This window comes from Homo sapiens, chromosome 3 (assembly GCF_000001405.40).
Source record: "Homo sapiens chromosome 3, GRCh38.p14 Primary Assembly".
Taxonomy (NCBI): Eukaryota; Metazoa; Chordata; class Mammalia; order Primates; family Hominidae; genus Homo; species Homo sapiens.
In genome coordinates this window covers 192852300-192874359 of record NC_000003.12, presented here as the reverse complement: position 1 = coordinate 192874359, position 22060 = coordinate 192852300, and the positions used below count along the sequence as shown (strand labels likewise).

General features: G+C 43.6%; 1 protein-coding gene across 1 annotated transcript in view, besides 1 other annotated feature; it reads left to right on the top strand.

Annotated features, from left to right (window-relative positions):
* MB21D2 (Mab-21 domain containing 2) overlaps positions 1-22060 on the top strand; it is a 121042-nt gene that overhangs the window by 43497 nt on the left and 55485 nt on the right. The window lies entirely within an intron of this gene.
* Positions 6679-6758: an enhancer, noted in NCBI's record as "active region_20998". NCBI's record gives its function as "activates an Ori minimal core promoter by ATAC-STARR-seq in GM12878 lymphoblastoid cells {active_cell/tissue: GM12878}" and the evidence as "EXISTENCE:reporter gene assay evidence [ECO:0000049][PMID:35858748]".

Below are 22060 nucleotides of genomic sequence, written 5' to 3'. Positions count from 1 at the left end.
TGGAGAATGGACCTTGATTCTAGCTATGGTTCTGACTCATTTATTCATTTGTTCAGCCATTCATTCAACAAATGCTTTTTCTTCTTTTTTACTGAGGTACAACTTTTGCATGGTAAATGGCAAAATTTTTATGTACAGCCCAGTAAGTTTTTACACAGTATAAACTGGTGTAACTACTGCTACCCAGGTCTATGGAGAGAAATTGCTAGACCCCCTGGATGCTTCTTTATGCCTTTCCCATTCACTTCCTCTTGTACCCGTCTTTGGTCTTTGAGTAGACACTACCACTCATTTCCATTGGGAATCAACAGACATTTTTAAAAGTACTTTCAGTGTGCTAGGAAAACACTGTGCTCAATGCCAAAGTGAAGAGAATAAATGCACTAAGGCCCAGCACTTTGGTCGGCCAAGGCGGGCAGATCACCTGAGGTCAGGAGTTCGAGACTCGCCTGGTGAATGGTGAAACCCTGTCTCTACTAAAACTACAACAATTACCAGGCGTGGTGGTGTGCGCCTATAGTCCCAGCTACTCAGGAGGCTGAGGCAGGAGAATTGCTTGAACCCGAGAGGCAGAGGTTACAGTGAGCTGAGACTTCCCCACTGTACTCCAGCCTGTTGACAGAGCGAGATTCTGACTCAAAACAAAAACAAAAACAAAAAAAGAAATGCACTAAGAGAGTCTCCTGTTTCCAGGGAGTGCAGCTCCCAGACGAGGACAGCGGTCAAAGAGTGGTAGAGGAGGGATAACAAGAGAGGGGCCCAACAGAGGCTGCTTGGTTTCTCCAGTGGTGAAATGGGCTGAATGGTAGGAGTGGGATGAAGGGAAGGTTGCGGTGAACTCACTTGTTCCTTAGGCAGAGCTTTTCAGTTTGGCGTAGGGATGGGATGTAGGTAGAGAGGTGGAATGGGTGTGGAGACCTCCTGCAACTGGTTACTTGCGGTCCTGAGAAGCCTCATCCCCTTTACCCTAGTATCATAAATATTATAAATTACAATTTCACTCTCTTTGTGTGCTATGATGAAGCTGGGAAGTTTCCAGGGGACCACAGTCGAGTACTGTCATTCTAGAAATGCTCCTTGGAATATAGGAAGTGACACACTTGGGTATTGTTAACCGTCACTTAACTCTAATGTAATCATACTAATAGTAATTGTGCATACAGCAACCATTCTATTGTAGCCCTTGTCAAATTGGAGGGAGGCAGATAGAGCCAGGGGTAGGTAATGGATTCATTTTGGAGACAGTGGGGAGGGCAGCACATGAGCAGACTCCACGCCCATTGGTGTAGAGGACAAGGGTGTATAGGCAGGGGACACAGCATTTTGAGTTGCTTGCTTGGTGGGGGGGGGTGTCTTCTAAACTTGTGAATTTTATGTTTAGTGTTTTGCTGAGTATCACTAAATTTGGGATCTGTTGGGTTAAGCTACTGGGGAGCTAATGAATCACTTATGCTGAGCTTCCTAAGGGAACAGAGGTCAAGATCTAATGGCACCCCTAATGTGTGTGTGAATGAAACCTTGTCTGGGGCCCCTGTTTTTAAAGACATAGGGTGGGGACCTCACTGCTTTTGAGTTATTAATTTTCTATTGTTTTGTTATGTTTTGCTGTCCTGACTGGGAGAGGGGCTTGTCCAAAGATGAGCCCAGAGAAAACCTAGAACCTGATTCTGTTTCATAATTTTAGCCATCCCCGTAGGGAACATTACCGTCATCCATGATTCTTTTCTCTGTATTGAAATATTTAGCCATAAAGTCAGAGCTTTGCAACTTTTTTTTTTTTTTTTGAGACGGAGTCTCGCTCTGTGGCCCAGGCTGGAGTGCAGTGGCGCGATCTCGGCTCACTGCAAGCTCCGCCTCCCGGGTTCACGCCACTCTCCTGCCTCAGCCTCCCGAGTAGCTGGGACTACAGGCGCTCGCCACCACGTGCGGCTAATTTTTTGTATTTTTAGTAGAGACGGGTTTTCACCGTGTTCGCCATGATGGTCTCGATCTCCTGACCTCGTGATCTGCCCGCCTCGGCCTCCCAAAGTGCTGGGATTACAGTTGTGAGCCCCCGCGCCCGGCCAGCTTTGCAACTTTTGATCCTTAGACCCTAGGGAGCTAGTGCAGAAGGCAAACAGTGAGCTCCCTTACCTTGTGATACATTTGGTTGGTCTCTGTTTACCTTTTTTATTGTAAACGACCTCAAATCCTTTTTAGAAACAGGTGGGGTTTTGAGTAATAAACGAGTAAACTTTTCTTTATCCAAATCCAAACAGCCAGAAAGCTAGGTAAGGATTATTTCCACACCTCAGTTTTATGAGAGACAAACTTGGATTGTGATTATATAAAAGAAAATGAGTGAAATGTTTAGGATATGTCATAAGATTAGTTCAGCTCTACCTCCATCTACTGCACCGGTGGTTTTTCTGTTTCAGCACCACGTGATGTCTCTATCCAGTACCCAAGGGCATTTCTAGTTACTGCAGGGCCTTTTGAACCACCCGGGAGAGTCCAAGTAATTTCCCCTCACCCCCCTTGCTGCAAACAGTGTTGTCCCCATCATGTCACTCCCCTCTGTCATCCCCATCATGTCACTTCCCTCTATAGTTAAAAAGCATCCCTGTTAACCTGTTTTAAGGGCCGTTTGGCTTCTCCCCACCTCCACAGCCCATCTTTGGCCTCCACCCTCTTCATTCTCTTGGCTCTGAGTTTTTTTGAGGCCCTTTATCCTGACCACTCTTGGCTTCAGACCTTGGAACATGCTTTGCCTTCCTTATTCTTTGACCTTCTTCCCTGACTCTGCAAACGAGGCTAGGTTTTTGTTTTATTCCCATACCTGCACCTCTAATGTCTATTCGTTGTTATACAATATCAGCTCTTCTTTATAGAACATAATCTCCATGAGGACAGACTCTGTGTTATTCTGTGTTCTACTGTATCCCTGTATCCCTCTCAGTGTCGGGTAAACAGTAAATGCTCAAGAGAGATTTGCTGAAAAATTGAAGTATATACAAGGGCCACATTTTTGGCATAAGTAATCTATATTTAGTAGGTCCATCAACCCCTAAATAACCGTCATTTTTCATAAGGTAGTATCCTTCCTTTTCTAGTAAGCCTGGGTGCACTCAGTTTGCAAGTATGTGTAACTTTTCATCATGCCAGGTGATTGTCAACAAGGGCGGGGTGGGTGGAAAGTGGATTCTATGAGAATAGATGGACTCAGTCCGTGCCTTCGTGAATATGCCCATGTTCCGTGTGAGTTGAAGCTTCACAGGTGGAAACTTTCATGTTCATGATCCCCATTGATGGCCTTTTAATAACCTCTGAACTTGGCAGAGCAGACGTCCTTATCCCCATGTTACAATTCAGATAACATTTGTGATGACAACAACAATGTGTGGTTGAGAAGTTGCATCCAACATTTGCTCTGAGGGTGGTAATAACCAACTGTCCTCACATTGGTTGGAAGGAGAGAGGTATAGAATTAAAATAGCCACAGGAAACCATTCCCAGTTGGGTCATAATATATTTTGGCCTTAAGAGATATGATGAGAAACTATCTCCCTGTTTCTACATCGGTTTTGCATTTTTTTTTTAAACTCCTCGAACTTGTTAGCCTTTGCAATCTTCCTTCCTTCCTTCCTTCTTCTCTCCTTCCTTTTTTTTTTTTTTTTTTTTCAACGGAGTCGCCCAGGCTGGAGTGCAGTGGTGCAATCTCAGCTCACTACAGCCTCCACCTCCCAGGTTCCAGTGATTCTCCTGCCTCAGCCTGGGATTACAGGCTTGCACCACCATGTCCAGCTGAGATTACAGGCGTGCGCCACCATGCCTGGCTAATTTTTGTAGTTTTAGTAAAGGTGGGGTTTCACCATGTTTCCAGGCTGGTCTCAAACTCCTGACCTCAAGCGATCCACCCACCTCGGCCTCCCAAAGTGCTGGGATTACAGACATGAGCCAGTGTGCCCGGCCAGCCTTTGCATTTCTAAGAACAAGGGTAAGCATGACAGAAATGCCCATCAGATCCAATGTGCTCACTCGTCGTGCTCACTAGTCTTGGGCTTTAAATGTTTCTGGCTTATTTAATCCTTTTACAGATGAGAAGCTGAGGGTCAGAGGATGCCATTTGCTAGAGAGACACAGTCAGGAATCCTGACTAGGTTTCCTGACCCGTGTTAGGGATTCGTGTTACAGAAGTCCTCCCTGTGGATTAGGAAAGACAGAGGGGCAGTCCTGATTGTGTGCTTTTGAGGTTATTGTGTGTCTAAGCAGTCGTGGGCCAAGAGCATCCGTATTTGGTTGTGTAATTTATTTCATGATGATAATTATTAGCCTTATTCATTCAGCTAGGCTTTCTGATAAGTCTCAGGATCTTGCTCCACACTTAAGCATCATCCATCCAAGTACTATTGATATGCAGTTTATTTTTTTTCTTGGAATTGCTCTGCATGGCTGTAATATAATTTAAAGGCTGAAGCTCCCTTATTTCCTGCTGTTTGAGTACCTTTCCTAGCTCAGCTCAGCAGGTTATAGACTGCTGATGGCTGCTCAAGGAGCAGTGATGTTTTTCATTATTGATAATGTCAGTGGCAGGCTTGTTGCTGTGTCCTGTGCAGGCTGGAATAGGCTCATTGATGGCAGATATGCTTCCTTCCTGCAGAACTGGCCATGGCCCCAAGTGCAAGGTGAGGTCAAGTGGCTTTTTATGGGGAGGAGAAAGGGGGGTTTTCAGAACCAAGAGGCCAGTAAGAATCTGGGTAATTGGAAGCTTTTACTTTCCTTTGGGAAAGCCAGGAAACCCAACTGTGACTAGAGCCTGGGTTGAGTCAGACACATATTACATGACTCTGGATAGTTGTGCTTGGAGTTTGTTCCAGTGATTTGGGGACAGGATGGTTACATCATCAGGCCTCGGCTGGAGCCAGCTTTCAGGTTTTGGATTGTTTTATTCACTGTGTCAGTCTCCTCCACTACTCAAGCCTATCACATTATTCCACTTCTCCTTCCCTTCTTCCTTTCCTCCCTTCCTCCCTTCCTCCCTTCCCTCCTTCCCTTTTTCCCTCCTTCCCTCCTTCCCTCCTCCCCTCCTCCCCTCCTTCCTTCCTTCCTTCCTTTCTTTTTTTTTGACATGGAGTCTCACTCTGTCGCCGAGGCTGGAGTGCAGTGGCTCCATCTTGGCTCACTGCAGTCTCTGCCTCCCGGGCTCAAGCAATTCTTCTGACTCAGCCTCCTGAGTAAGTGGGATTACAGGGGCACACCACCATGCCCAGCTAATTTTTGTATTTTTAGTAAAGATGGGGTTTTACCATGTTGGCCAGGCTGGTCTCGAACTCCTGACCTCAAGTGATCCACCCTCTTCCTCTTATTTCATTACTAAATGCTGTATATTTCTTTTAACAACTAGTCTGTGGCCTACCTAATTACTTAATGTATTATTTCATGGACATAGTTCCGGTTAGTAGCATAGTCCCCAAACTTAGCATTTCATTGGCTACGTCATTTCCCACTGTGCTTTGTATGATAGTTTGCTTAGCTAGCCATTAATGTCAGTCTGTTGGGTTATCTTACTTTTCATGATTATATGTGGCAGTGAATTGTATGAAAGAGTTGCACTTACAGAATCCTAGGGATATTAGAGACCATCCTTCCTTGGGCATAGCACAGACCAACCTTTTCATTTTATGGACCACAAAATGGAGCCTCGGTATATTGAAAAATTTGCCTATATGTCTTTTCCCCCTTTAAGATGATTCCTTATTTTGCCACTGATGACTGATTATTTAGGAACGGAAAAAATCAAGGGCAAGTGAAAATCCTCTTTCCATTAAGTAGCAGGGGTGTCAGCAGCAGCAAAATTAAAAAAAAAAACTTAATACAAACTTGCTTAAGCAAAATATTAATTTATTAACTGTCAGTGAAAAGTTCATGGTTAGAGGTGACTTGATCAAAGGAGTCAAATGATGTCACTAGTCCTTGTTTCTTTCCGTTACTTGGCTCTGTCTCCCACTGCGTTTTCAAAGAGATTCTCTCCCCTCTGCTCCACTTGCTTCTTGTGTTTCAAGTTCACTGGGAAGATGGATTCTGTAGAGTCAGACAATGAGAGTCCAATATAAGCATGCACCTAGCCCTTCTATCTTTTGGATATGACTGCCATAGTGAGGATGGGCTAAGAGCTGGAGGACCACTGGCACACATGAAGATCACAGAATCAGAGTTGTTAGGGCTAAAAGGGCATTTATAGATCCCTGTATCCGTTACTGATTGCTGCATAAAACTACCCCCAAACTTAGTGGCTTAAAATAATACCTTATTATATCTGGTGATTCTTTGAGTCAGAAATTCAGACAGGGTACAAAGCGGATGGCCTACAATTGCTGTATGATTTCTGGACCTCACTGACCAAGCATTTTTCCCCTTCCCTCATTCCAATCTTCCTTCCTCCCCCATCCCCAGCCTTTTTGTGTGATTAGCTTGGCCTTTCTCATAGCATGACAGCCTTAGTCTAAGTTAGCTTCCTTATGCGGAAGATCCGGGCTCCCAGAGAGAACATTCCAAGAGATATGAAGTGGAAGCTGCCAGTTTCTTAAGGCCTGACGCTGAAAACTAGCAAACCATCACTTCCCTCTTACTCTGTCAAGCAGTCACAGAGCCCTCTTAGATTCAAGGGCACAGGACCTAGCCCCAGCCTCTTGATGGGAGAGTGTCAAAGAATATGCATGCAGCCATCTTTCACCTGCCGTGACCATCTAGTCACATAACCTTTTCTCAGATGAAAAACTTGAGGCCTGAGAGGAGCAGCAGTTAGTCCAATTTCTCTGAGCCCTCTCTTTAGAAATAAAAAACAGCAACCAGGACAGAAACCTGTACCCTAACCAGCCAGAGTACCTGTACTCACCACTTTCTGCTACCTTCTCCTTTTGCTCTGTGTCACTGAGCCATGGAGGTACATAGTGGGGTGACAGCCAGGGTATATTGTTTTTTCTTTGCAAATAAGATACTGACAGAATGGTGCTTGTCAGTTTTGAGGGAGCTGCTTTGTATCAGCCTCAGGCTCCATGACTCTGCTGGGACCCTTTCTCAGCCAGAGAGAGAGAGAGCCTGTTTTGATTGTGTTGTAGAGGGCATCTTTGCTTGTTGCATTTTTGCTTCCTGGGAGGTGTGTGGAGGTCGGGGTACAAGGGGCTGAAGATTACAGCTCCTTATTTGAGCAGCCTTTTCCTCCCTCTACCCAATACTCCTCCCATTCATCAGTGAGCCACTGATGCATGCCTGTTGGAAAGTCAGTCATTTTATAACCTAATATTGCAATAGTTTCTGGGTTTATTGTCTCCCTCCAACCTGCGGCTTCACACCATCTGGTGTGCATGCAGGCGCACAAGGGAGAAAGCTGAGAGGGAGGGAAAACAGCTTTCCCCATTCCTTCTCCCTTCTGGGAGGAAGGAAAATTTACATTCTTTTCCTCATGTAGGACTTGATGTCAGTTTCTAGGTGTGTGAAGCGGGAGGGGAGAGATGGTCAGAGCACATGGTAATGGAGGGTATTTCAGCAATTGGTCAGAAATCCAATTAAGTCTCCTCTTCTAAAGATGGGAACTTTCTTCTCTCCTAAGTTATCTTTTACCTGGTGTGAGGACAATTTTTATTTTTTTAATATTCTTACATTTCATGTATCATGCCTCAAGAACAGGCAGTCTTCATGGATAAGCCAGACAGTTATGTTAATTTAGAATTCATTTATGACCTAAGGGACCTGAGAAAGAATAAATTAATTCAGAATTAAATGTGGATGTGTACGTGCATGTCTACATACACGTGCACGTATGCATGCTGAGATGCATTCTATCTTTAACATTCTAAATCAGGTAAAAAGAAATCTCAACAGCATACATATTGGGCTGGGAGTAGGTCAAGGTGAATAAATTAATTAAATGTAACATTCTTTGATTTCCTTGCGTCAGTTCCCCTCTCAGAGAAAGAGAGATCTAACCAGAAGACGCAATCTAATTGATGTTCTTTTGTTTTTTTAATCCCAGCAAATTAAAGAGACTTTGCCAGTGATGTTTTTAGTTCTTTCAGGAAGAATGTGATTCCTGCTTACACTTGTACATTGTAATTTTAGTATATATTTAAAGTTTGCTGTTGTTTTCCTAACCTGAGCATTTTGGGGAAATTCTGAGCCTTAGAGATGAACAATTAGCTTGAAATAATGATATTTAAGAAGAAAAATCTGTTGGTACACAAGGGTCAGTGGCTCTAGTCTCAGTTTCTGATGAGTTCATTTCATCATTACCCTTGGAATCAGAAACTTCTTTTTTTTTTATTTATTTATTTTTTTAGACAGGATCTTCCTCTGCTGCCCAGGCCAGAGTACAGTGGTACAATCATGGCTCACTGCAGCCTCAACAACCTCCCCGGCCCCAGCAATCCTCCCGCCTCAGCTTCCAGAGTGGCTGGTACTACAGGCATAAGCCACCACACCCAGCTAATTTTTTATTTTTTGTAGAGACAGAGTCTTACTATGTTGCCTAGGCTGTTCTCAAACTCCTGGGCTCCAGCAATCCTCCTGCCTTCACCTCCCAAAGTGCTGAGATTACAGGCAGGGATCAGCAACTTCTTAAAGGTGGCTGATAAAGACAATCATATGTTGAACACAGAAGAATGGTGAGGATGGGGTGGGGGTTGGGGAAGATTGGGAGGGGGCCTGGTAGACCAAATCTGCTTCTCTAAGCTTCATCACAGCCACAGGCATCTTACAGCTTCAATTCTCACTTTATCCTTAACTCTTTTCTTAGGACTCCCAAATTCAGAATGCAGAGGTGTGGTTAATTTGATCATGTTTCTGAAATGTCTCTTACTTGTAAGATGAAGCAAATCAGTACTTGCTCTTCTTGCCCTTCCAGTGGAATGTTAATGCATGTACTTTGAATTTCTACATACTCCTGCTGAACCATTTCTCCAATATACAATCCCACAAGCCCTTCTACATGCTTCCTATGAAAATCAAGCAAAACTATGAAAGGTGACAGCATCCTGGGAGCAGGAGACTGAGGGCTAATCTTGGGTCATCTTCTACCTTGCAGTTCACCTACCTCTGAGCCTCCTTCCAGCCTCATTCATGCTGATCAGCTCCCTGGGTTGCTGTAAGAATAAAGCTCAGGGACACATGAGAGTGTTCTGGAAGGGTGGAAAGCTCCACATGCAGGAGGTTACATAATTATGTTCTAAGATTGTTCACAGCTGTCAAGCGCGACACACTGACATCCTCATGCTCCTCCACCGTTGAGAAGCAGCTGTTACTTTCATTTCAGCCTCTCCCTTCTCTGTAGGCCAGATTGAGGAGAAATGAATGAATTAAAAATCTGTTGGGGGTGAGGGAAAACCATCTGAGATGTCTTCTGTCTGGTTTTTCATCTGTGAGTATTTTAATATTCCCATTGAAACTGCAAGGTGGGTATATAAGCAGTGTAGGAGGAGGAATGTGGAACTGGAGTCACTCTAAAAATGAAATAGTAGAAATAACAGTGCTCTGGGTGAGAGGGCAGTCACTGAATATGACTCTTAAAAATTGGAGTTGGGATCAGGCATGGTGGCTCACACCTGTAACCCCAGCACTTTGGGAGGCTGAGGCGGGCAGATCACCTGAGCTTAGGAGTCCGAGACCAGCCTGGCCAACATGGCGAAACACCATCTCTACTAAAAGTACAAAAATTAACCAGGCGTGGTGGCGGGTGTCTGTAATCCCAGCTACTTGGGAGGCCAAGGCAGGAGAATCGCTTGAACCCAGGAGGCCGAGGTTGCAGTGAGCCAAGATTGTGCCATTGCACTTCAGCCAGGATGACAAGAGCAAAACTCTGTCAAAAAACAACAACAACAAAAAGCACGGTGGTTCACACTTGTAATTCCAGTTCTTTAGGAGGGCAAGGGAGAAGGATTGCATGAGGCCAGGAGCTCAAGAGCAGCCTGGACAGCACAGCAAGACCCCATTTCTGCAATAACAGTAATGATGATAACATTAAAAAGAGGACTGTCTGAGCACCTGCGGGGTTTCCTGGACCAGTTCACACACAAACTGGGGTACTTCAGCACAGCTCTTGAGGTTTATTTCTTGTCCTTCCCTCCTTATTCCCCACATTTATCTGTATCTGGAAGAGTTAGGCCAAGGCCTTTTGACATGCCTAGAAAGTACTTCCCTACCTTGCTCACCTGGAGCACACCTACTTTTTAAAGATCTAGCACAAATGTAAACTTTACAGAAAGCTTTCCCTGATACCCACTGCCACAGAGGATTATTCTTCACTTTTTCATACCTCTGTGTTTGTAAATGCCTCTGTCACAGCATCCACTACTGATGTAAAGACATCTGTCACATTATGTTTTTACATTTTCTTGGTGGGGAGTGTCTTAGTCCATTCAGGTTGCTGTAACAAAATATCATAGACTGGGTGGGTTATAAACCACAGAAATTAATTTCTCACAGTTCTGGCTTCTGGAAAGGTTAAGATCAAGGCTCTGGCAGGTTTGGTGTCTGGCGAAGCTCCCTTTCCTGGTTCACAGACAGCTGTTGTTTCACTGTGTCCTCACCTGATGGAAGGAGAAAGGGAGCTCTGAAGTCTCAAGTGCAGAAATCCCATTCATGAGGGCTCTGCTCTTACGACCTGGCCTCTTCCTGGAGGCTCCATCTCCCAATAATCATCACCTTGGGGATTAGGATTTCAATGTGAATTTTGGGGGGACACAAACAGACTGTAGTAGACAGTGAGCTCTTTGAGGACAGGAATCATGTCTTCTTCGTCCTTGTCTTCATAGGGCACTGCAGAAGTTTTGTCACATATTAAGTACTCAGTAAATATTTAATAAGTGTATGAATGAGTTAAAAAGAAAAAAAACTAAACTTACACCATGTGCTAACGTTCCTTTTGATTCAAGAATTAATGTTAGTGCCCCATCACAATTCCCACTTGGAAAACAACCGTTAGTCCCGTAGATATAGACAGAATGTCACCGAGTTGGGTGTTTGTGTATGCGTTAGTTTCCTAGGGCTGCTGTAACAAATCACCACAAATTGGGTGGCCCAAAACAGATGTGTTCCCTCACAGTTCTGGAGTCTGGAAGTCTGAACTCAAGGACCTGGCAGGCCAGTGCTCCCTCTGAAGGCTTTAGGGGAGAATTTTTCCTTGCCTCTTCCTAGCCTCTGGTGGCTGCTTGGCAACCCTTGGTGTTCCTTATCTTGTAGCTGCAACACTTCAGTTTCTGCCTCTATAATGATTGCTATGGTTTGGAATGTTTGTGTCCCCTCAAAATTCATACATTGAAACCTAATCCCCAGTGCTGTAGTATTAAGAGATGGAACCTTCAGCAGGTGATTAGGTCATGAGGTCTCTGCCCTTGTCAGTGGGATTAGTGCCCTTACAAAAGAGGCCTCAAGGAGCCACTTCTCCTTTCTGCCATGGGAGTGTGCAGCAACAGGGCACCATTTTTTGAGGCAGAGCGCAAGCCTCCCCCAGGCACGGAATCTGCCAGTGCCTTGACTTTGGACTTCCCAGCCTCAAGAACTATGAACAATACATTTACATTGTTTATAAATTACCAGTTTAAGATATTTTGTTATAGCAGCCCAAATGGACCGCAGCAGCCATCTCCCATCTGTGTATGTCCGCGTCCGACTTTCCCTTTTCTCTTAAGTGTATGAGTCATTGGATTCAGGGCCCACCTTAATTCAGTGTGAGCACCCTACAAAGACTCTGTTACTCACAGTTAAAGGAGCAGGAGGAGTAGGACCTGAACATACCTGTTTTGCAGGACACAATTCAACTGACAACTGTACATTGTTCTTATCATGGAATCTTGACTCCTGTCTCTCCTCTAAATGGTCGCCCAGCCTCTGTTTCAGCACCCTGAGGAAGTTACTTCTTCTAGAGGCAAATTTGTATATTTGGGCAGCAGCTTTCTGAGAATTATTATTATTGAACCCAAATTTATCTCCCTGCTGTCTCTATTATTCTACAATTCGAATGAACATGGAATACAATCCTACTTATGTTTCAGAGGAGAGAGGGAGCTTTAAGGTTTTAAGATGGTGCTCCTGGCCTCCTTTCTGAATGTTCCCAGTTCCTTCAAATCATCATCCAGTCTATAGTTTCCTTACCTCACTTCCTCCACGTTGGCAGAACTTTCAGGGTGTTGGTTGAAACAGGTGTGGTAAGAGCAGCACAGATGAAAGCAGATACATTTCCTTCCAGGGAGTCTGCTTCTGTTCATGCAGCTTCAGTCACACAATCTTGGCCGCCAAAGCACACTCTTGAAACATTTGAATTTACTGTTGGTTTCATGTAATGTTGCTAAACTGTGTTCCTTGAGCATTGTACTGTTGAGCATTTTGGCCACAAGACCAAGGCTTGGCTCTTGTGTGGTTGTATTTTACTCTGCTGTACCTGGCCTGTTGCCCCAGTTTGTTGAAACACTTTTATTGTAATGTTGTCATTGCACCTTGCATGATAATGGATTTTGGTGGGGGGAGAGTAGAGACATGGTTCATGATAGAAATGGGTCTATGTTTTTGTTTTTTTGTTGTTTTTTGGGATGGAGTTTTGCTCTTGTTGCCCAGGCTGGAGTGCAATGGCGTGATCTTGGCTCACCGCAAACCTCCACCTCCCGGGTTCAAGTGATTCTCCTGCCTTAGCCTCCCGAGTAGCTGGGATTACAGGCATGCGCCACCACGCCCGGCTAATTTCGTATTTAGTAGAGACAGGGTTTCTCCATGTTGGTCAGGCTGGTCTCGAACTCCCGACCTCAGGTGATTCACCCGCCTTGGCCTCCCAAAGTGCTGGGATTACAGGCGTGAGCCACCGCACCTGGCCCGAAATGGGTCTATGTTAAAGGTCACTGTGCTGCTGCTTTATTCCCAAACACCTTATCAGAACAGGACCCAGACGTAATTTGGGGATAGCTATGGAAAAGGCTTTAGGATTTTGTACTGTTACTCTAGGCAACTGAGGAGGATGCAGCTCTCTCATACCATTTAGCAGGGTCTCCTGTGACACTTGGGTACTAATTAGATGCCCGCAGATGCTGGCAGTCCCAGCCCCTTCCTATTTGAATGAATGCAGAGATGGTCACAACCAGAACCACAGGGGACTTGGAGATGGTAACTCGAAGGATTGAGAACCGAGCCCAGAGGTCAGATCTGCATACCTGGCTCCACTTCTTGTTTGTGACTTTGGAGAAAGTACTTTGTAAAATTGGGTTAATAATAGCATCAACTTGAAGGGTTGTTAGAATAATTCCCATTTAGTTTTAGCCAAGATGCAGTCAGCAAGGTAAGCTAAGGCCCGAAGAAGTCCAGTGATTTGCCTGAGGCCACTTGTGTGTCCACCTAAACCAGGAATGGTGTTCAGCCTTTTCGTTTCTAGTTTAATGCTCTTTCTTTTAAACTACTCTAGCACTTCAGAAATCATCAGCTTATGTTATTTATTTTCTCATTCTGCTTTTGTTTATGGAATAAAGGAAGGTAAATACACAGAATTGGTATTTAAAACCTTTCTCACTAAAATACTGATTGGGTTCCTCTGTGGTGTCTATGGATTTATTTCAGATGTGTCTGGATTAGCTGGGAGACATTGTTGCCCTCTGAGACAGGGACATAAGGAGGGGAAGTTGCCCCAGTCCTTGCGTTTTCTCAAGACTTGATAAAGTCTTCCACTTCTGCTGGCAGAGCTGGCTCCCAGGGCGGGCTGGCACCATGTGCAGACTGTCTCTGCATATTCAGCAACTGCTTGCATCCTGAAGCCACACTATCTCCATTTAATTTGCAATGTGGACTATATTTTCTCTCAATTTCTGTGGATTGGAGAAGTGCATTGTGCCAGCTTTCTTAAATTGCCACTATCAATATTCTACTGCCTTTATTTTTTATGCATGCTAATGACATTTCTCCTTTTGAAATATACTTGTTTCCCAGATCAGTCTTTGCAACATTAAAATTAATAGATAAATAAATAAATAGATAAAGAAATAAACAAAATAAAATAATGCCCACATTTTAAAAACAGCCTTCTACATCAGGGTCAGTTTCTGCCTAGCAGTTTGTGGCATGAATCTGAACTGGATGTAGAAAATCACTGCTCTGCTGTGCTGGGGAGACCCTGGTTGGCTTTTCTGGGTCGGTCAGCACGTAGCCAAGAGTGAAGAGGGAGGTAGGCTTTTGGCTCAGAAAACTACTCGGCCATGTGGGGCACAGTTTGGAGGCCTGTCCTACATTCATTGGCTTTCAGGAATCATCCTTTACACCACCCCAGGTGAATTGCTTTCTAACAAGGCCTGTAATTTTGGGGACACCAGGGTGGTCTCCTGAGAGTGAGTGGTGGCCCTCCACCCTTGTTTATACACTTTCCACATTTTGGGCTTCATTCTGCATCCTTTCTGCTTTAGTTTCATTTATGCATCTTACATTTCAGACAGAGGAACCTGTCGTTGGTGCTATTCCAGCCCCACACTTCCCCCACACTTTCTCCATGTTGGTCAGGCTCGAAAAGTCTAAATACTTTTCCATATTGTTTCCTCCACATGGGATGTTTAACTGTGGTCTCAGTTCTTGTCAATGTCTACTTTTTCTGAACACCGTCCATTTAAAGGTGATTTCAAATGGTGTCTTCTTCACAAAGCCTCCTCTGATTTCTGCTTTTATTCATTTGTTTATTCATTCTTTTCAAAAGACATTTTATTGAGTACCTAATATGTCTGAGGCTCTGGGCTTGGTACTGTGGATAAAGTGCTGAAGAAAACACACAGATCATTGCTCAGAGCCCTTAGTTTACTCAGGGGAGAGAGAAAAAGTGTGCATGTAGGATGTTAGATGGTAGGGCAGGGATGGGGTTATAACTTTAAATAGGATGTTCCAAGAGGGAGGTCTTACTGGAAAGGTGAAATCTGAGTTAGGATCTGACAGCAAAAGTGCTGTCTTCTTCCCCCGCTCCTCATCTGGCACTGTCTGAGATCTATTTTGGGCAGCAACCATGTCGGGGGTGGGGGTGGTTTGACAGGAGGGAGAGATTGAGAGACAGTGGAAGATGAGAGAGTATGCATGTATCTGTGTGTGTACTCTCTTCTAGTGCCGTCTAGCATTTTTCCTCATGGTACTTAATACATTATTTTGGAGTGAATATTTTTATCAGGCTTGTTTTGCTGCTCTTCTCATTGAGGTGAAACACGATTTGCTCTGTGTTGTGCAGTACTGCTCAGGGATGGATCAGGATCCCTCTGGGTCCGTGGGCTTTGTGTGACGCTGTTGGAGCCGGCCAGCATGGCTTTGCTGTGGAAGTTGCTCTGTGAGCCCAGCACACATGAACCCCTTCCAAAGGCTTAGTTTTCTCAACCTTAAAATCAGGAAGTTGACTAACTGATTCCTAAGAGCTTTCCTGGAGCCAAGGTTTTTCCATTTTGTATGATAAAATTCTCACCGTGTGCAGGAATCCTTTGTGGATGGTTCCAGCTCACAGATTGTTTCATGGTTTATGCTGATGGTTTGTACGCTGTAAATAGAGCCTATATTGCAATACCTGTATACCTGTAAATAGAAGTATATTGTCTTTGACACTGTCTTCTTCCTGGGAGGATATCCTCTCCAAGTAGATTGTGAGCAGTTAACTGACAGGCCTGGGGACATACCTTGTGTCCTTTATAACCTGCAATAGACTGCACATTCAGGGCTGGTTGATTCATAGCTCCATCTGTCTATCTGTCCATTTTTTAATTGAGTTCCTAGAAAGTATGATAAGCATTCAGTATTAAATACTAGAAATGCTGAGGGGGAAATGTGAATCCTGATCTGCAGAAGTTCACAACTTGTCAAAGGAATAACATTATTTGTAAAATACTTTGTCGTTTGCATGGTCCGTTCACATTTGTTTTGATGTATTGGTCTTCAGACATCTTTAGGATTCAGATATGAATTATAATATGATGTTATATTTTATGTCCTTTAAATTCCAGGAGTGTGACTTGGAAAAAATTGAGAGAATGAGAACAGTGGAAATGGTGCTGGTGACATGGGGTTGGGAGCCCCATCCATGAGACAGTGTCCTGAGGGGCAGGAGATAGCTGGTGGGAGACATAAGTCTGTTCTCTCTTTTCTCTTTTTTGGCCTCAGGTCCCATGTGTCTCTTATGATATATGCATTAAAACATGTTGGCCTTAACTTTTCAGTGAATTTACAGGTTTCCAAGGCCACTTTTTTGTTTGTTTGTTTTGTTTTGTTTTTTGAGACAGAGTTTTGCTCTTGTTGCCCAGGCTGGAGTGCAGTGGTGTGATCTTGGCTCACCGCAACCTCCATCTCCTGGGTTCAAGCGATTTTCCTGCCTCAGCCTCCCCGGTAGCTGGGATTACAGGCATGCACCACCATGCCCGGCTAATTTTTGTAATTTTAGTAGAGATAGGGTTTCTCCATGTTGGCCAGGCTGGTCTCGAACTCCCAACCTCAGGTGATTCACCCTCCTCAGCCTCTCAAAGTGCTGGGATTACAGGTGTGAGCCACTGCGCCCGACCTAAGGCCGCTTTTATCATATGTGATTTTGCCAGATCCATTGACTTATGAACTGAATTCCTCGTGCAGCATGTTTCCACCTTTGTCCCATGTCACAGATGAGATGGTCTCAGAAGGAGGAGTCTTCTTCCCTATCTGCATGGAAGGCAGAGTCAGGATTGATCATATGCCTTCCTAACCCACAACCAGGTTTTTTTTTTTCTCTTTAGCCTAATTTTTGTAATTCCACAGGGATTATGTACACGTGGAGTAGTCACGCTTATGGCAGGAACTGGGTCCAGAAGTTCGGCAAGATGCGCACGCTGAAAGGGATAGAAGAATGGTTTCTCTTTGAGTCTCCAGCAGCTCTAGGCTGTGCTCGGCTCCTTCTGGCCTGGGTTGGAGATGCCTGTTTAGAAATCTGTAGCTGTTTCTCCTCTGGCATCTAATGAATTCTGGCTGACTTTGAATGTTCCCTTGACACGACTGCAGTTCTTTAAAGCCCATCTTCCACATGGAATTGGCAGGTTCATTTAATTGTTTGGGAGCCAGATAAAAATGCTTTGTTCTTTGTTCTTACATTATGCCATTTCAGAATATCTCTTCTCCCACAAATTGCCGAGACTGTTCAATTTGAGCCTTCAATTGCTTCTCTCTGAGCAGATCTTTCAATTATTTTGCAGGGCCTGTTGTTTTTGATTAGGCAGTTAGAATATCAGCTGGGTTTCTTAATCTATTTATTCATATTTCTGCTTGCCTTTCTTTTTTCTACCTTTAAGTCTCTTTTATTGTGAAAAGCATGCAGTCATAGCAGCTGTAATGAAGTGCAAGTACTTTTTTCTTGTTTGCTGGCTGTAGTATGTGATCATTTTTTCCTTTGCTTATGTTTTAGGGTGATAATAATGTCCTCATCATTGTTATTATTTTTCTTTTTAAATCAGTTACTATGCTTAGATCTCAAACAGACAGAAGATAATTAGTAGATAAGAGAAAAACCAAAAATGCTGTGATTTGGCCAGGCACAGTGGCTCACACCTGTAATCCCAACACTTTCGGAGGCCCAAATGTGCAGATTGCTTGAGTCTACAAGTTCAAGAACAGCCTTGGCAACATGGTGAAACCCCACCTCTACAAAAAATAAAAAAATTAGCTGGGCTTGGTGGAGTGCACCTGTAGTCCAGCTACTTCGGAGGCTGAGGTAGGGGGATCGCTTGAGCCTGGGAGGCAGAGGTTGCAGTGAGCTGAGATTGCACCACTGCACTCCAGCCTGGGTGACAGAGCAAGACTGTCTTAAGAGAAAAAAAACAAAAAACAAAAACAAAACCCTGTGATTCAGATTTCAGAAAACACGCAAGGGCAATGCCAGGTGCTGAGGTAGAGCCATGAGAAAGATTAACTGGGTCTTTTCTTCCTGGTGCTTATTGCCTAATTTCCCGTTTCCTTATTTCTCCTTATAGCAATCAGGTAGGATAGGCATTGTGATTCTCATTTAACTCATGGGAAAACTGAGATTTAGAGTAGTGAAGTGATCTGCTCAAGGTTGCAAAGTTAAAAGAATTGCAGCTGGATTTTAAACCTAAGTGTGGAGTCTCCAGGTTTAGTGTTAGAGTCTGTGTGCAAGCGACTGTAAGTTACTGCCTCAAACCAGACCTCTAATAAGACCAGAGTGTCCCCTCTGAATGCAATCAGAGTCTCCTCCTGAGTGATTTTATTCTGAACATTGGAAACATGACAACATGTAGGTCTCTGATTCTGCCTTTGTCTTGCTTTATTATTATTATTTTCTTATTAAGTTTTTATTTACTTTTTGAGACAGAATCTTGCTTCGTTACCTAGGCTGGAGTGCAGTGGTACGATCTCGGCTCACTGCAACCTTTGCCTCATAGGTTCAAGTGATTCTCCTGCCTCAGCCCCCGAATAGCTGGAATTACCTCTCGGCTAATTTTTATATTTTTAATAGAGATGGGCTTTCGCCATGTTGGCCAGGCTGGTCTTGAACTCCTGACCTCAGGTGATCCTCCTGCCTTGGCCTCCCAAAGTGCTGGGATTACAGGCATGAGCCACCATGCCCAGACTGTCTTGCTTTATAACTTCTTTGAAGCTTCATTTTCTATCCTGTAAATGGAGGAGGTAGAAAAGGAGGAGAGAGAAAGTGGAGAGGAGGTTAGTCATCAAGAGAATGGGTTCTAGAGTATACAGACCTAGTACTGAATCCTGGCACTTCTGTGTTTTGACTCTGTGTTTTAGAAACTGGAACTTCAGTTTCCTTATTTGTAAAATGGAGATGATACTGCATAGAGGTATACCTCAAAGATATTGTGGGTTCAGTTCTACACCACCACTAGAAAGTGAATATTGCAATAAAGTGAATCGCACAAATTTTTTGTTTCCCATTACCCTATACTGTATTAAGTGTACAATAACATTTTGTCTAAAAATATACATATCTTAATTTAAAAATACCTTATTGGCTGGGCACAGTGGCTCACACCTGTAATCACAGCACTTTGGGAGCCCGAGGCAGGCAGATCACGAGGCCAGGAGTTAGAGACCAGCCTTGCCAACGTGGTGAAACCCCGTCTCTACTAAAAATACAAAAATTAGCCAGGCGCGGTGGTAGGTGCCTGTAATCCCAGCTGCTCGGGAGGCTGAGGCAGGAGAATTGCTTGAACCTGGGAGACAGAGCTTGCAGTGAGTCAAGACTGCACCATTGCACTCCAGCTCTGGGCAACAGAGCAAGACTCCATCTTGGAAAAAAAAAGAATTATTGCTAAAAAATGCTGATAATCATCTGAGCCTTCAATTTTACTTCACAATTACTCATTGGTACATGAGTTGCAGAATAGATATTGTATCAGCAGACTGAAAACAACATTAGTTTTATTGTACATCTCCATCAGAGTGCTTGAGTGACCAAGTGCATTGTCAGTGAGCAGAAATATTTTGAAAAGAATCTTTTTTTCTGAGCAGTGGGTCTCAACTGTGGGCTTAAAATATTCAGTAATTCACCACGCTGTAAACAGATGTGTTGTTATCTAGCCTTTGCTATTCCATTTATAGAGCACAGGCAGAGTAGATTTAGTGTAATTCTTAAAGACCTTAGGATTTTCGGAATGGTAGATGGACATTGGCTTCCATTTAAAGTCACCAGCTGCATTAGCTTCTAACAAGAGAGTCAGCCTGCCCTTTAAAGTTTTGAAGCCAGGCATTAATTTCTCTCAAACTATGGAAGTTGCATTGACATCTTCTCTGAATGCAAGACTGTTTCATCTCCATTGAAACGCTGTTTACTGTAGCTACCTTCATCGGTTATTTTAGCTGGAGCCTCTGGATAACTTGCTGCAGCTTCCACGGCAGCACTGGTGACTTCACTTTGCACTTCTATGTTATAGAGATGACTTATTTCCTTAAATCTCATGAGCCAGTTTCTGCTAGCTTCAAACTTTTCTTCTGCAGCTTCATCACCTCTCTCAGCTCTCAGAGAATTGAAGAGAGTTAGGGCCATGCTCTGGATTGGACATTGGCTTTTGGTATTCTATCTAGACCACCAAATCTTTCCCCATATTAACAACAATGCTGTTTAACTTTCCTATCATTCATGTGTTCACTGGGGTAGCACTTTTAATTTCCTTCAAGAACTTTTCCTTTGCATCCACAGCTAGGCGAACTGTTAGGCACAAGGGGCCTGCCTTTCAGCCCATCTCAGCTTTTGACATGCTCTCCTCACTAAGCTTAACCATTTCTGTCTTTCGACTTAGGGTGAAGGACATGTGTCTCTTCCATTCACTTGAACACTTAGAGGCCACTGTAGGATTATGCACTGGCCTAACTTCAAAGTTGTTATGTCCCAAGGAATAGGGAAGCCCATGGGGAGGGAGAGAGCTGGGGTAACAGCTGGTTGTGGAGCAGTCAGAACACACTATGAGTGTGATTCATGGTGCCCCAAGACAATTACAATAGTAACATCAAAGATCACAGATCACCATAACATATAATAACAATGAAAACGTTTGAAAGATTAAGAGAATTACCATAATGTGACACAGAGACGCATGTGAACCCTGCAGTTGGAAAAGTGGTGCTCACTTGCTCGATGCAGGATTGCCACAGACCTTCAATTTGTAAAAAACACAACTATCTGAGAAGCACAGTAAAGCAATGCACCATCAAACAAGGTGCGCCTGTACTTGTAAGTCTTTTGAGAATAAAAAAAAAAACAAAACACCAAAAACACCAGAAATGTATGTGGAACATTTAGCGTAGTGCAAAATAAATATTTTCAGCTATTTTTCTGTTTGGGTCATTGATTCATTTGCATATTCAGCGTGCATGCATTGAGTGACACTCAGGTGGGAACACCACTGCTGCTGTTGCAACCCCTATTTTGTTACTTAGGTACTTAGGGGCACAGTAAGGCATTATAGATAAGACATGGTTAAATCTGTGGTGAGCTGAAACTGCATAGGTGTCCAGTGATAAAAGTTACCTTCTATTAAATGCTACCTTAGTGTGAAAAACCATTTGTCACGGAAGTGCCTCCTAAAGAAAGGAGTGTTAAATTCTGACAGGGTCAACACGGGATGGAATGGCGGTTGGTTGGTGTGGAGATGTGGAGTGAGTGTCCAGAAGTGGGAGAAGACCTTCGAGGGGTGATGTGGTTGGTGGGTGTGGTTGGTCTCAAAGACCAGGTTAAGGAGTCTAGGCCTCATTCATTCATTTGTCCATTTATAATGCTGGGACTATATGGAAGATGGATCAGAAAGTCAATATACTGAATATAAACCAGGTAAAAAGCAATGAAAATGGTCTCAGAGAGAGAGAGAGAGAGAGAGAGAGACAGAGAGAGATAACTGAAAACTGGATTTAGGGCAGTGATAAGGAGAAAGAAAAGTAGCTAACAGAAATGAAAGATGATGGGATATTTTAAAAAGCACTTTTAAGAATCTGGATTTCAGATGGTCATAAAAGTAGGAACAGGAAAACCTGGAGTAATTTGGAAATGCAGTGAGAATGCTACAGACAGAGGATGATGGGCATCTTGGTTAAAGTGACTGGAAGTGGGGGTCAGTGGTGGGGAGCTCATTCTGAAAGTTCTAGGGCAAAATTGGAGGATTTGCCAGTCAACTGACCTTCACCTGCTTCTGGCAGTCATCCACCTCTCAATTATGTTAGCCATACTAACAAATGGACATTGGTTTTTATTTTGCTCTCATTATTTAACATTTCCTGTATTTATTGCTTTTGGATTCAAAAGGATGCAAGAAACTTAGTCTGTTTTTTCTTTTCACTATGAAGTAAAGAGACTGTTTTCCTTGTTTGAGGCAATTGCTTATTTCTCCTTCTGTTTTTCCCCCGTTTAAAATGTCCTGCTACAAAATGACCTCTAGAACCTGTATATGAAGCAGGTTGCAAGGTGGTTCAGCTGAGTGCTAGAATATATTTAAGAATACTTTACTGACTGTCAGTTCAAGCAAAAAACAAAGCAAACAAAAACCTGCTGCTTTGAAATAAGGGCTATTTGCTTCCTATGGCTTTCTTTCGCCTCACAACCTGTCTTTCCAGTTTA